The sequence below is a fragment of the Homo sapiens genome, chromosome 11 (genome assembly GCF_000001405.40).
Source record: "Homo sapiens chromosome 11, GRCh38.p14 Primary Assembly".
NCBI classification, from domain to species: Eukaryota; Metazoa; Chordata; class Mammalia; order Primates; family Hominidae; genus Homo; species Homo sapiens.
Window position 1 is genome coordinate 69884587 of NC_000011.10, and position 15507 is coordinate 69900093.

General features: G+C 50.5%; 2 annotated features.

The window, feature by feature from the left end:
• Positions 4015-4309: an enhancer, noted in NCBI's record as "tiled region #8845; HepG2 Activating non-DNase unmatched - State 12:CtcfO, and K562 Activating DNase unmatched - State 12:CtcfO". NCBI's record gives its function as "activates a minimal TATA promoter and a strong SV40 promoter by Sharpr-MPRA in HepG2 and K562 cells {active_cell/tissue: HepG2 | K562}" and the evidence as "EXISTENCE:reporter gene assay evidence [ECO:0000049][PMID:27701403]".
• Positions 6505-7100: an enhancer, noted in NCBI's record as "H3K4me1 hESC enhancer chr11:69705859-69706454 (GRCh37/hg19 assembly coordinates)". NCBI's record gives its function as "activates a minimal SCP1, AML or CMV promoter by ChIP-STARR-seq in naive H9 embryonic stem cells {active_cell/tissue: H9 hESC(naive)}" and the evidence as "EXISTENCE:reporter gene assay evidence [ECO:0000049][PMID:30033119]".

The window sequence follows — 15507 nt, forward strand, 5'->3', positions numbered from 1 at the left end:
AAATGCCACAGGCGATTCTGTGAACAGAGCGAGTCTGATTAAGATAAAATAGGAGAATTACAGGGACCCCTGAGTCTGGGTGTAAGGTCGCATCCAAATTCTCCCTCAAGGTCCCTGCACGGCCCCAGGCAGCATCCCTGGTCTTTTCATATTGGTCTTCTCACCAGCCTTTGCTGCTCCTGCTCCAAATCCTCCTGGCTTGAGAGTCCCCACCTTGGTCTCCTGGACCCCTCTAACCAGGGCCCCTGCTCTCTGGTATTGCAGTTACTCTCACCTCCAGGCTTGGCTGTGCAGGAGCGCAGAGGTGAGAGGTCATTGCAGTGCATTGGCTTGGGCAGAGTCGGGACTTGTTGTTCAGGGCCGCAGGGACCAGCTGCCCCCTCCCCGGGCACCTACAGCCCCACAATTGGGGACCTCGCCAGCCACCGAGGTCTTTCTTCTCGGCACTGCCCCCACCCCCACCCTGGCTGTCCAGTCTTCAAGCAAATGTTTTTGATTTTACAGGAAGTAGAGCAAGGACCTAATCTGAGTTTAATTTTTGAAGCAAGGCCTTTGATTTAATACTTATTCATTTAAGTAATTAATGCCTCCGAGTCCAGAGTCAGAAGCCATCTCAGTTTAGCCCCTCTCTTTCCTTACACGCAAAAGCAGACCTCACAGCACTTGGTACCTCCAAACCATTAATTTATACCAACGGGGACATTCCAAGGCCTGGAGCAGTTACTGAACACGACTGTGCAGCCTTCTCTGCCATATTAATGTACTCTTGTCCCCAAAGACCTGGGACAGGAGTGGCTGCCTACTTAGCAAGGACTCTGCTCACAAGCCCGGTCCTCTTGTGGGTATAGAATATTCTGGGTTATGAGACATGTTTTTGAACCCAGACTTGATGCATTCAGTCAATAAACATATATGAAGTGCTGTCTCCCATGCACTAGGTGCACCCTGGAGAAGCAACTCTTATCCCCAAAGAGAAAACACACAGGCAGCAAATCTGTAGGAATGAGGGCAGAGTGGGGAGGACAGAGTGGGGAGGGCAGAGTGGGGAAGGCAGAATGGGGAGGGCAGAGTGGGGAGGGCAGAGTGGGGAGGGCAGAGTGGGGAAGGCAGAATGGGGAGGGCAGAGTGGGGAGGGCTGAGGGGGGAGGGCAGAAGGGGGAGGGCAGAGTGGGGAGGGCTGAGGGGGGAGGCCACTCCGGGACAGGGATGGTCACTGCCACATAGTGGGAAGATGTTCTGTGGGGACCTTGAAGAGTGGGGAGATGGAGAGTGATCGGGAGGGAAGGGTGATACAGAGGTGCGGGCAGAAGGCAACAGCCAGGAAGAAAGAGGGGTGTCGAGGTGGACGGTGGGATTCCAGAGAGCTTTTCTTATTGAGTTACTGGGGGAAGTTTGTTTTTCTTTTTTTCTTTTTCTTTTTCAGAACACAGGATGGATGTGCCTGTCTCCTCTGGGAAGCTCTCCTCTCCTTCATCGTGTTATACTCGTGTTCACTCTACTCTCATCCTGTGTAGGGCAGGCAAACAGGGCCGTGACTCTGGCCCCTCAGAGCCCCTGGTTTGATAGTCTGTGTACAGCGTGGGGTATGTGATAGCAATTGCACCTCTTATTTTATAAATGGGTAAACTGAGTCCTGGAGACAGGGCTGTCCCTAGATGGATGTGGGTTCCCTGAGTTTAGCCCATCTCTTTCCTTACACGCAAAAGCAGACCTCACATCACTTGGTATCTCCAAACCATTAATTTATACCAACGGGGACATTCCAAGGCCTGGAGCAGTTACTGAACACGACTGTGCAGCCTTCTCTGCCATATTAATATACTCAGAAATTAATCAATATACTTAATTAATATATTAATTAATTAATATACTTAATTAATATAATTAATGTACTCAAAAATTAAACTCAGATTAGGTCCTTGCTCTACTTCCTGTAAAATCAAAAACATTTGCTTGAAGACTGGACAGGACAGCCGGGGTGGGGGTGGAGGCAGTGCCGAGAAGAAAGACCTCAGTGGCTGGCGACGTCCCCAATTGTGGGGCTGTAGGTGCTCGGGGAGTGGGCAGCTGGTCCCTGCGGCCCTGAACGAAAAGTCCCGACTCTTCCCAAGCCAGTGTACTGCCCCCCCACTTGCAGGAGGCTCCACTGTCGGCCCTTTGCCTGGGGATTTGGGGATACTATTCAGAGTCTGAATTCAAAATTCAATCAAATTCGGCTGGGGTGGTGGCTCACGCCTGTAATCCCAGCACTTTGGGAGGCCGAGGCGGGCGGATCACGAGGTCAGGAGATCGAGACCATCCCGGCTAAAACGGTGAAACCCCGTCTCTACTAAAAATACAAAAAATTAGCCGGGCGTAGTGGCGGGCGCCTGTAGTCCCAGCTACTTGGGAGGCTGAGGCAGGAGAATGGCGTGAACCCGGGAGGCGGAGCTTGCAGTGAGCCGAGATCCCGCCACTGCACTCCAGCCTGGGCAACAGAGCGAGACTCTGTCTCAAAAAAAAAAAAAAAAAAAGAATATTTGTGAAATGGCTGAAGAAGAAGTGTCTAGTGCCACGCTCCCCTCTCGGAAACAGGGGCTCCACTGGCCGTCGCCAGCTGCGTCTCAAGTTAGGCAGGTGTCTCTATCATTTCAGGGCTCTAGCCGAGGCCCAACATTGAGCTGCATTGTCAGTGAACCCTCTCAAACTGGGGATGATTTCTGTGCACACCTACATGATCCCAGCATCTGGAGCTTTTATCAGATTTCTTCAGATCCTCAGTGGCTCCCCAAAACCCTGGCTTCTTGCTCACAGGGTTGGAAAGAATTTATGCACCTTAGGACCTCCAAGTGGAAACCTGAAGTCTGCAGGAACACAGAGAATCAGAAATTTTCTCTGAGAGAGGTCAGGTAGGCTTCCTGGAGGAAGAGGCATTTGAGCAGGACTGCCTATGGCCTCCTGCTCTGGGCACAGAGGGTTTATGATCCCTGTAACAAAATGCAGATAAAGCACCTCCTGCTAAAAATATATATTCAGGCCAATGGAATAATTTATTCATCTCAACCCACAAACATCGATTCAAACCTGGGCTGGACGCTGGTTCTGCCTGTTCATAGCTGGTGGTTTTGGGTGAGTCACTTAACTTCTCTGTGCCTTTGTTTCTTCATCACAAGATGGAATAATTATGCAGCCTGCCTCAGAGGACTGTCGAGCGAATTAAATGAACTCTCAGATATTTCTGACAACTGGACCCTCGGTATTCGGCCTAGAAACCTGATTGGTCTCTAGCGAACTTCTTACTCTAGGCCAGGTCCTGTGCCCAAACCTGGGGAGCCCTGGTTGAGCACCACCCAGACCTGGCCTCCAGGAGCTCAGAGTACAGTAAGGGAGACAAATAGCAGACAGTGCTCCTGCATCCAGGTGCAAGTGGCCATAGGGCGGCATGGAGCAGCGCCCGGAGGTGCCCCCAGCCAGGCCCAGCTTTCGCCTGCCGATGCAGGCTCTGAGCCACATTAGCCAAGAAAGAGAGGAGGGGAGGGACCACTGAGGACAGGAGATGGACCTTGCTCCTTCTTGCTGTCCAGCAGACACACACACAGACATACGTGCACACCATGCACGCAAAAAGGCATACACATGTGCCTCTGCACACATCCCCACACAGCCCAAAATATACACATGTGCACACACTGGCGCACACATGTACCTTGCAGGCAAACACACATGTACATATACATACACACGCATACAATACCTACTGACACAAAGGTACACATATGTCCATGAGCACAGGCTCACACATGAGCATACACAGTGCTACAAATATACACACTCCTGCACACATGGGAGCATATAACACACATATTCACATGTATGCACACATGCACACACAAGGCAAAGACATACACAAACACACAAGAGCATATGCCATGCATACCAAGATTCACACAGGTACATATGCACACACATGCACCTGCACGCATGATCACACACGTGGACACATGATCACACATGTGCATGCACCCTACAAGAAGGCATCTTCTGCCCTCTGCACCAGGACGACAGAATTACCTTCAGTGCCATAAACCCAAGAACATCAAAGGTGGGAAAGACCAGGTCAGTGTGCTCAGGTTGTAAACAGAAACAAAAACCCCGCAAAACAGCGCCATCTTGTGGTGGCAGTGGGACCAGGCTGAAGGCAGCTGGCATCCTTCTTCCTTAGGGAGGGGTTTTTCCTAGAACCTGGCTTCCAAGGTGGGCTGAGTCAACTGTAACTCTCAGGCAGTACCAAAGCCACCCCTTTTATTCGGGGGAGGTCGGGATGCTCTGGACCAGCGGCTTTCCCTACCTCCACGGCCCCTGTGCTGGGTCCTGGCCAGCCAAGGGTGACCAGGGCCCTGAGTCTGGCTCTGCTGGGGACTCTGGGAGCCTCCTTCTGTCCTGGGCTTTACTCACCTCATTCAAGAAATGAGGTTATTACACTGATGCTCGAGAGCCCAGATCCATGTGTGTCTAGAGCCACGCCCCTTAGCCTGGGGCATCCATGAATAGACTGGGCTGCCCCCATATCAAACCGGAAAGCAAAGCCTCCTGGGTATCTCTGGCTTAGAGACCCGCTGGGAAATTGCCACCAGGGTCTCCCTTGCTGGAAGCTTCGGAGTGACATGAGATCTCAGGCCCTGCTTGGACCTTCTGACCCCTCAACTTTATCTTAAGAGCCCAGGGGATCTGGGCAGTGCCCCCAGAGCTCCCATCAGCACCCAGCACCCCTCACCTCCCCGAGAATCCCCTTCCCCTATGAAAGCCTCAGCTCTGAGACATAGACTGTTCCCCACCTGGTCCTCAGCCTTCCTCCCTGGCCCCCAGCCTGCAGGGACAAGGGCTCGTAACCATTCAGTGAACAGAAAACCAAGACACTTTCCTAGTGGAAATCGAGGCACGGGATTTCTCCCCACCTGCCCATTCAGATCACTCGCCTGGCAGGGCACAGGTAAGGACCCAGCTCTGAGACAGGCCACTGGGGCCAGATCCTGGTTCTGCACTCCCTGAATGGGTCCCCTGAGGCAAGTCACCTCCCCTCTCAGTGTCCTTCTCTGTAAAATGGGAATTACAATAGAATTTATCTCCGAGTTGTTTTAGGGAACAAAGGAAATATAATCCATGCAAAGTGCCTGGTCCACAGGAAGCGCTTTCGCATTGTCAGTGTTGGAGGTGATGTTTGCTTTGCAGGGCTGTTCAATCCCCTGCCCACTTCTAAACACATTTAACTTTGGGGAGGGGCCTCTTGGGGAGGACAAAAGAAGGAGGCTGGGGCTTCCGCTGCCCTCTGCAGACCTGGTGTGCGATGACGCTGCAGCGGGGGACCGCGGTTTTAAAGGCATCATCGGTAGAAACGGCCTCACGCATTTCCATAATTCACTCTGCATCAATTAATCTTTCACTGTCGATAGGAACCTGCGGCTGAATTCCCTCCCCGGGAGGACTCGCCATTCTCAAGCTCTGAGGGGTTTTCTTCTCGGCTGGCATCATGCTAATTTCCCTCGAGTACCCCTGGAAAGAGGTTTTAGAACAAGACGTGGCGCTTGGCAGGAATTTGACATCTGAAACAACTGTCGCTCAGGGAGGAGGGGGTTGTGACATTTGCTAATTGCCAATCGAGCACTAATGTGAGCATTGAGATGCTTGGAAAAATGCTTCTTCCTGCTGAGGCTGGATGGAGCTGGCTCACGGGCCACTGATACACCTGCAGGGCATCATCCTTTGCCATTGATAAATACCCTTCATGGATCTAAGGAGGGAAATAATAGGGAAATTTCCTTTTGGAAAACCAGAGAGCATTGGCTGGGGATGGGGGGCCCAGGTTCTGAAGCCATCACTGCCAAAAACCAGCTGAGCCACCAAGGGTGAGACCCTGCTCTTCCTCAGTGTCTGTGCGATGAGGGCCATGGCCCTTGCCGTCCTCTGCCTTTCCCTGACCGCAGACCCTGGCTTCTGCTGGAGCTCTCCCTTGTGTAAGGATGCATGGAGCAAATTTTAGGGGCCTTAGAGCCCTACGTCCAAACCTCCTCCAGCAGAGTCCCAAAGGGCCCCTGCCTACCTTCGCCTGCCTGCCAAGGGGTGCTGGCAGAAAGCAGGCAGGCGGTGCAGCCTCACCCTCTCCCACAATGGGCATGGGCCATGCCTGCTTCCTGCATGGCAAACCCCTGCTTCCAAGAGAAGCCTGAGGCCTGTGCTGAGAGGGCCCAGCCCCTCCTAGCATCTCTGGGTCATTTCCCTCTCCTCAGGCCTGGCAACCTCTAAGTTCAGCTCCTGGGAGCTGGGGTCCCCCAGAAAGGAGCTCTCCCCATTGCCAGCGAGAAGCAGCTCTAGCTCATTCTGTAGGCTAATAAGAGGGACAGCTCGAGAAATGAATGTGAGAATGGGACTGTGTGGGAACCCCCTGGAGAATCCACGGGGCAAATATCTTTATGTTCCAACCCGATTTCCTCTTGTGGAATCTCGACTATAAAATCAGCAACACAGCTGTACTAATAACAAAAAAAAGCATCAATGTTCAACCACCTATGCTGTGCCAGGCTCAGTGCTAAGCACTTCATTCTATGAAATCTTCTGGAATCTTCTCAATAGCCCCACAAAGGGGGCTCTGACACAGCCCCTATTTTATGCAAACCAAGGCTCTGAAAGGCTCAAGTCTTCCCAAGGTGATTTAGGGCACGCTTGCTGAAATAATAACCAAGACATTTATTTGGGGTTAAAATCCTGATATTCCAGACTGAAATAGCTGCCCCTCACATCCTCCTCCAGCCCTGCACCCATGGCCCCGAGCCCCACTGTGGGTGAAAGAGCAGGAGGGCCCTCCCTGTGAAACAGCGTCGGCCGCTTGGCAGGGGTATTGCTCTGCCCTGAGTTCACGCTGATAACGCGCCCAAGGGCAATCACATCGTAACAGCCCGGAATTGTTCTCAGTCTAGAACGGACAATAAACCGCCCGGGCAGAATGTCTCCTCATCATTCTGCCGCCAGCCAACGGGCTCCAAGAGTTGTCATCTTGAATTTGTGCCCAACTCAAGGTGCCGGCCCAGGCTGGGTCACGGGGCCACAGGGCGCTTTCCAGGAAGGCACGCAGAAGGCATTCCAGCACGAGAAGGTGAAGCAGCGCGGAGGTTATTGACTTGACATGGGTCATTTTGCCCCGGCGTACCCCACGGGATACTGCTATCCTATATCTCCGGCAGGGCATTCTCTGGGCAAACAAGCCCACAGCCATAAATGGTGGCCTTTGCACACCCGGAATCGCTGCCTCATGGTGTTTGGATCACTGACCCGGTTTGTTTATTTATTGAGAGTATTTTTAGCTCGCCCGCGGTTACCCCCGGGGTCACCAATTTTCCTTTTTAATCTTCTCTTTGAATAGAAAGGAAATGGACAGTAAGGTGCCTGTCACTCGAACGCTGGGGTAAGTCTGGGGCAGTGCATACGCCACCGAGGTCACACTCACGTCAGGGACGACACTGCCACAGCCAGCAAATCTCACTCAGCCAGCCCTCGAGGGCACCAGTGTGTGAGCCGACCCCGGGCCTGGCCAGAGAAGAGGGTCGCGGTGTCCGTGCAGGGATTCACCGAGAGTCCAGACCCCAGAGGGGCAAGCGGTCAGCACCACAGTCTCGCCCCGCAGCGCTGACCGCAGGGTCTATGGAACCCATTGGCCCCCCTGCAAGAGCTCCAGAGGTGATCCCCCACATCCTGTGAGAGATCAAGTGTATTCCAGAGAAGATTCCCAGGTCGCTCCGGTTTCCTCCCAGTTCTGGTGTCCTTGACTACTGGCTCTGCCATCTACCACCCTCATGCCTCAGTTTTCCCATCTCTAAAGTGGGGGCTAACAAGAGCGTCTACTCCATAAGTTTGTCCAGAGAGGTGAGTGGGGCGAAGTGCGCCTGTGTGCAGTGAAGCGCGCCTGTCCGCGGTGGAGCGCACCTGTCCGCGGTGGAGCGCTCATGTGTGCGGTGGAGCGCGCCTGTGCGTGGTAAGTGGTGGTGATTGTTGCTACCATCGCTGTTCCCATCAGTTCCCGCCACATGCATCTGTCAAGGGCCCCCAGGAAGCAGATGACCCACCCCCAGGGGTGGGCGAGATCAGGAAGCCAGGAAAGGATGGTTGGTGAAGCCCCTTGTTATTGTCTGAGGCCAGAAGGAGGCAGTTACAGAACCCAGCAAGAGAGGGAGCTGTCCATGGAGCCGGATGGGAGCTGTCGTGGCTGTGCGTAGGGGAGGCACACACTGCCCCCTGCGGCTGGGCAGGAAGGAAGCCAGCCCCTCTCTCCTTCCCAGCTCTGATCGGTTGCTGGCAACCCCCACTGGCCGCTTCAAGTGGGGACTCCAAAGCCAGGAAGCTGGGGAACCAGCTGGTCTCCTGCGGCAGAGAAACAGGGTGAGGAGTCGGGGCTGGACCTGGAGGGGCAGGCGGAGAGTGACTAGCAGAGTGAGTGTCCAGTCCCTCCCTGTCCGGGTGCCTTTCTGTCAGCCACACTCCAGGTTCTGCAGGGAAGAAAGGCTCTGAGTTGGGGTCTGGAGAGGCCCGAGCCTGGCACCTGTGGCCAGGCTGGGTCATTATCCCCTGAAGGGAAGCAGGGCTGGGCTGAAGGTGGGGAGCCTCCCTGACCTGCCTAAGCAAGGCTTTGTGCACCTTGTGTCAATAAATCCAAGAGCAGGAACGTATGTCATCAAGCGGCTGGCGGTGCCATCTGGCCAAAGCAGGAGGCAGCCTCTGGGACAGTCACATGGACGATGAGGCCAGACAGGGCTGCACCCCTCCCTCGGAAACCAGAAGCACTGACTGCCTTTCAGCCAGACATCCCTCAGTGATGCTGAACAACAATTAGGAATCAAATCCCCAAATGTCCTCCTGGCCTCTTTCCAACAGGAAGAGCCGCCCGGCCTTCCCTTTTTGCAGGACTGGGGCTGTGTCCTTGCTTTTGTGCTAATAATCCAGGAGTGCTTTAGGCTGTCAGAGCTGGGTACAAATTGCATTTTTGCAAATCGAAGAATGATTCCCCACCCATACTTCATTTCAGGGACACACGGATCGGTCTTGGAGCTAGACACTCTGACAGGAATCCAGGCCAGGGGCTCCTTCCCTGGGGGCCATGGTCCTCACCCTCTCAGCCTTGGGGGTCTCTTTGGGAATCCGTTGAAAGCTACAAAATCTCTACTCCAAACAGGGAAATGAGGTTGTGTGCAGACACGCTGCATTTGCTATCATTTCAAGGGTCTGCCGACCTCAGGTTCTGAGCCCAGGCCTGGGTGGGGCCGGAGGAAGGCCCTCTGGGCTCTGCGAGAGTGAGACATCAGTGTGCCTTCCTCTGTCTTCACCGCCCACCACCAAAAATTGCCACGTCCTATAGATCCAAGCTCCTGAATATCAGGTGGCTCTGCACTCCTGTCCCCACTCGCCATCTCACTTGGGTTATTAAACCAGCCTCTAACTAGTCCCTCCACCTGCTGTGACCACCCCCAGGGCCCCCACCCCAAATCTATCATCTTCATGGCAGTAAGAGGGACTCTTCCTGAGCACCAGACTCAGCTTGTCCCTTCGTGCTGCAAACCCTGCAGCCCTTTACCACGTGGGGGCCCCTCGTTACCCGCAGAGGCCATCTCACTGTCTGGGAAAGTTCAGACCTACGGATGCAGCGTGATAGCTGGCATGCTCCCTGCCCCTGCCGGCTCAAGCAGACACTGTGGCTCTGCCTACCATCTCCAATCCCTCGCCCGGCCAAGCCATCCCTCGGGGCTCAGCTAAAGTGTCACTTGAATTGTGCATTCTTGCAGCAAGCACTGGGCATTTATGTGTGGCTTTACAGCTCTGGGTGCCAGTGTGGACAGCCTCGGAGCTGCCGTCAGCAGAGTTGTCAAAAATTGCACTGCCCCCAAAGATCCGGCCGGGCCCCGTGGAGCCAGTCAGGTGGAACTTGTTCCTGGACAGTTGACACCTGCAGTTTCAGGATTTGGATGTGGTTCACTTGTTAACATTCCGTGTCAGCTTGGCCAGGCTGTAGTGCCTGGAGTTTGGTCAAACACTAGTCTAGGTGCTGCTGGGAGGGTATTTGGTCGACGTGGCTGACATCTGCAGTCCATTCACTTTAAGTCAAAGAGATTATTCTCTATCATGTAGGTGGGCCTCGTCCCACCAGTTGAAGGCCTTACAAGCAAACAAACAGGTTTTCTGGAGAAGAAGGAATTGTGCCTCAGGTCAGTAACGTAGAAACTCTGCTGGGTTTCCACCCTGCTGGCCGGCCTTACAGATTAGGAATTTGCCAGTCCCCATGGCGGTGAGTCAATCCCTTAAAATCAGTCTCTCTCTCTCTCTCTCTGTCTCTCATCCCCTATGAGTCTATTGCTTCTGTTTATTGATTCTTTCCTCTGGGGAATCTGGACTGATATGCTTACCTAAAGCGAATGCCACCGGAAACACAGGCCTTTGGGTGTGAAAATCTTTGGGTTGCTTTAAACCTTGTAAGAAAGAACCTTCTGTTACGTGGTGCCTTCCTAAGCTGGCTTGTCCTCAACTGCCAGGCTTCACTTGACTCCAGGGCCCTGTCTGTGCCAGCCAGGGAGCCCTGTTGGTGAATAACACAGACCTGGTCCCTGTCCCCAGGAACACACCATCTGTGGGGTCTTCCTGCCATCAGCACCCAGACACCCACCCAGCCGGGGTCTGGGCACCCTTTTCCTCCCACACCTCCCTTCCATCACTGCCTGGCACTGAGGCATGTAGTCAATATCAATATCTGTTGAATGACAAATCCATTAGCATAGGGTACTCAGACATCTAAAAAATACATATTCTAAATATCCGTTCATTTCTTTGGTTATCCCAAGCAAGTGTTTTCTGACCAATGATGTAGCCAGCCAACAGTCACCTGGCTGTGGGTAACCTCATGCCTCCAAACAGGGGGCTCAGGGGTCTAATAGACCCTTAAGGAGTCTAGGGACTTGAATGGGTGAGTCTCACACAGACTGGCAGAGAAGCTGGCTTGGGTCAGTAACACTCCCTTCTCAGCCTTTGTCTTGCTTGTTTTACTTATTTAATCCCTACACCCTAATCCAGTTCCTTGCCTCCCATAACAGCCCTTCTAATGGGAATTGTATGCCTTTTAGTGGGCATGCGGTCTTGCTAAATGAACATTATTGGCCGGGCGCAGTGGCTCACGCCTGTAATCCCAGCACTTTGGGAGGCCAAGGCAGGTGGATCACCTGAGGTCGGGGGTTTGAGACCAGCCTGACCAACATGGAGAAATCCCATTTCCACTAAAAATACAACAATTAGCCAGGTGTGGCGGTGCATACCTGTAATCCCAGCTACTCGGGAGGCTGAGGCAGGAGAATCGCTTGAACCCGGGAGACGGAGGTTGCGGTGAGCTGAGATCGCGCCATTGCACTCCAGCCTGGGCAACAAGAGCGAAACTCTGTCTCAAAAAAAAAAAAAAAATTGAACATTGTTGTTTGGGAGGCATGGATTTTTTGTTGGTAGATTTAGTGTGGTGCAACTGATATGCAATCAACTGCACGTTCTTAAAGTGCTCAATTCCATCAGTTGTTACATGAATATACCTACAAAGCCACCACCATGATCAAAATAATGAACATATCCATCACCCCAAAAAGCCTCCTCATGCCCCTTTGTAGTTCCTCCCTCCCACCCCTCCCCACCCCACCAGTCAACCACTGGTCTGCTTTCTACCACTGTAAGTTTGCATTTTCTAGATTTTTATATAATTGACTCATACCACATGTGCTCTTTTTTGTCCAGCTTTTGCATTCAGCTTATTATCCTGAGACTCTTCTATGTGGTTGCTTGTAGCAGTCATTCATTCCTTTTTGTTGCTAAGTAGTATTTCATGATGTGGATGTGAAACCACCATTTGTTTATGCATTTTCCTGCCATTTGAGTTGCTTCCAGTTTTTAGCTATTATCAGCAAAGCTGTTATAAACATTTTTTTGACATATGGTTTTATTTCTCTTGAGTAAATGCCCAGGAGTGGAATGGCTAGATTGTATGGTAGATGTGTGCTTAACTTTCCAAGAAACTGCCCAACTAGGTTGCAAAGTGGTTGAACCATTTTGCATTTCCATAAGCAGTAAATGGAGTTTCAGTTTCTCCTCAACATGCTTGCTTCTGAATTCTAGTCATTCTACTGGCTAAAATTCTACTAGTGTAATATCTCGTTGTGGTCTTAGCATGTATTTCCCTAATGCCTAATGACATTGAGCATCTTTTCATGGGCTTATTTGCCATACATATCTTCTTTGTTGAATTTGTCTCAAATCCTTCGCCCATTTAAAAAATTAGATTGTTTGTTTCCCTGTTTTTGAGAATTGAGAGTTCTTGATGCATTCCGGATACAAGCTCTTCATCAGATATATGACTTGTAAATATTTTCTCCCCGTCTGAGGTTTATCTTTATATTCTCTTAACAGAACAATGTCTTTGAACGAGCAAGCATTTACAGTTTTGCCTAAGTTCAGTTCAGTAATTATTTTCTTGTATGGGTCATGCTTTTGATGTCTGTCATAGTCTGTTTTGTGCTGCTATACCAGAATACCACAGACTGGGTAATTTATAAAGAAAAGACATTTATTTCTCATGGTTCTGAAGGCTGGGAAGTCCAAGACTGAGGGGCTGCATCTGGTGAGGGTCTTCTTGCTGCATTATAACATAAAGGAAGAACAAGGGGAAGGAGAGAGAGAGAGCTCAAGAGGGGGCTAAACTCATTCTTTATAAGGAACACACCCTGCTGATAACAAACCCACTGCCATGATACTGGCATTAATCTATTAATGAGGGTGGTGACCCCATGACCCCAACACCTCCCATTAAGCCCCACTTCCCAATACTGCTGCACTGGGATCTAGTTTCCAGCACATGAACTTCAGGGGACACATTCAAGTCACGGCAGTGCCATAGCGCAGTCATATTTGCCTAACCCAAAGTCATAAAAATGTTCTCTTATTTTCTTCTTGAAGTTTTATGTTGTAGGTTTTATATTTAGGTCTATGATCCATTTGAGTTAATCTCTGTATGTGATGCAAAGTATGCATTTAGCTTCTTTTTGTTTTTTTGCTTTGCTTCATTTTAGCACATGGATATCCAATGGTTCTAGCACCGTTTGTTGAAAAGACTATTCTTTCTCTACCAAACTGCGGTAGCATCAATTGTTTAAAATAAGTTCTCCAAGTGTTTCAGTCTGGTTCTGGACTCTCCATTCTGCTCATTGATGTATTTGTCTGTATTTATGTCCATACACACCTCGACTATCGATTTAATTTGCTTTTCTTTTTTCTAGTTTCTCAAAGTAGAAACTTGGGTCATTGATTGGAGACCTTTCTTCTTTTCTAATATAGACCATTAGTGTTATCTAGATTTCCCCCTAAATACTGCTTAAACGGCATCCCACAATTTTTGGCATGCCGTTCTTTTTTTCATTTTTGTTCAGTTTCAACTACTTTCTAATTTCCTTTATGATTTCTTCTCTGACCCATGCATTAGCTAAAAGTGTATCTGTGTCCTAAATCTGGTAGGGATTTTTCAGTTGTTTTTCTCTTATTAATTTCTTTTAATTTCCTTTGCTCAAAAGGCATGCTTTGTATGACTTGCAGGGTCTGAGGGAGTGGGATCCTGGCAGTCCCTGTGGCCTTTCTTGGAAAGCGCAGGGCCAGAGCTCAGCAAAGGAGTAGATTCTGTGGCAGAAACCTCTGGAGAGGAGCACGACACCGCAGACATGCTGTGGACCAGGTGGCAGCTGCCAAGCAGATGGAACCTGCACCTGCCCAATTTGGCCAAAGAAGCCCCCATACTCTCCGTGAAAAAGTCTTCCAGAAGCTATTGTGTCCATGACCAAGTCTCTCTCACACACACACACACTCACACACACACACACACACACACAAAAGATCATTCTTGAGTCTGATTTGAAAACTAAGGTCAAATTCTGCAGAGGTATTTGAGTGGTAAGATAACACCCTAATATATATATATATATATATATATATATATATATTTTTTTTTTTTTTTTCTTTTTCTTGGTGGGAGGTGGGGACAGAATCTCACTCTGTCACCCAGGCTGGAGTGCAATGACACACTCTCAGCTCACTGCAACCTCTGCCTCCCGGGTTCAAGTGATTCTCCTGCCTCAGCCTCCCAAGTATCTGGGATTACAGGCACCTGCCATCATGCCTGGCTAATTTTTCTATTTTTTGCAGAGAAGGGGTTTCACCATGTTGGCCAGGCTGGTCTTGAACTCCTGACCTCAGGTGATCCGCCACCTCGGCCTCTCAAGGTGCTGGGACTACAGACGTGAGCCACTGTGCCCAGTCTGTATATTTTTAATTGAAGTGAATAGGACTTTGTTATAGATTTCAATCCATTCTTCACTTTCAATCGAGTGTTGTTTTTACATAAACTTATACCTTTGGAATGACTGTAGAATTATTAAAAAGTTGCTAGGATAGTGCTAACAGTCCCCACGTGCTCTTTGCCTCCATATTAACCTCTTACATAGCCATATAAACATTTAGAAAATGAAGAGACCAACATCAGTACAATGCTGTAGCTGAATTCCAGACTTTATTCCCGAGGGCTGCATTCTAAAGATGCATCCATGTTACAGGCATGGGGCCCCTGACTGTGCACCTGCTATGCAGTGCCTGCTCACTCTGCTGGGGGTGGACACTGGCTGAGGCCCCCTCCCCATTCTGGTTACAGAGCTGACACATTAGAGCTTCGCCTGCCTTCCAGCCGAGGAGAGAGCAGGGGAAGTGGCCTAGATATCTTTTTGCTATATTGATTTCCCACTGCTCTTTTCTGAAAGGTGTTAATGACCTCTAAGGCCATGATAGCCTAGACTGGCCGGTGGATGCAGTTCCACCAGGACAGCCCCAGGCCATCTGTGGCCACGTGGCTTGAACTGTGGCAAGTCCAGTTGAAGACATGCTGTGAGTGTAACATGCACATGGGATCTTGAAGACTTTGTATGAAAATAAGGCCGGGCATGGCGGCTCACGCCTGTAGTACCAACACTGTGGCAGGCTGAGGCGGGTGGATCACTTGAGGCCAGGAGTTCAAGACCAGCTTGACCAACATGGCGAAACCCTGTCTCTACTTAAAAATACAAAAAATTAGCCTGGCGTGGTGGCACATGCCTGTAGTCCCAGCTACTTAGGAAGCTGAGGCAGGAGAATCACTGGAACCCGGGAGGTAGAGGTTGCAGTGAACCAAGATCACAGCACTGCACTCCAGCCTGGGTGACAGAGTGAGACTCTGTTGAAAGAATGAGAAAGAAAGAAAGAGAGAGAGAGAGAGAGAGAGAGAGAGAGAGAAAGAAAGAGAAGGAGAGAACGAGAAAGAGAGAAAGAGGAAGAAAGAGAAAGGGAGGGAGGAAAAGAAAGAAAGAAAAGAAAGAGAAAGAAAAAGAAAGAAAGAGAAAGGAAGAAAGAAAGAGAAAAGGAGGGAGGGAGAGAGAGAAAGAAAGAAAA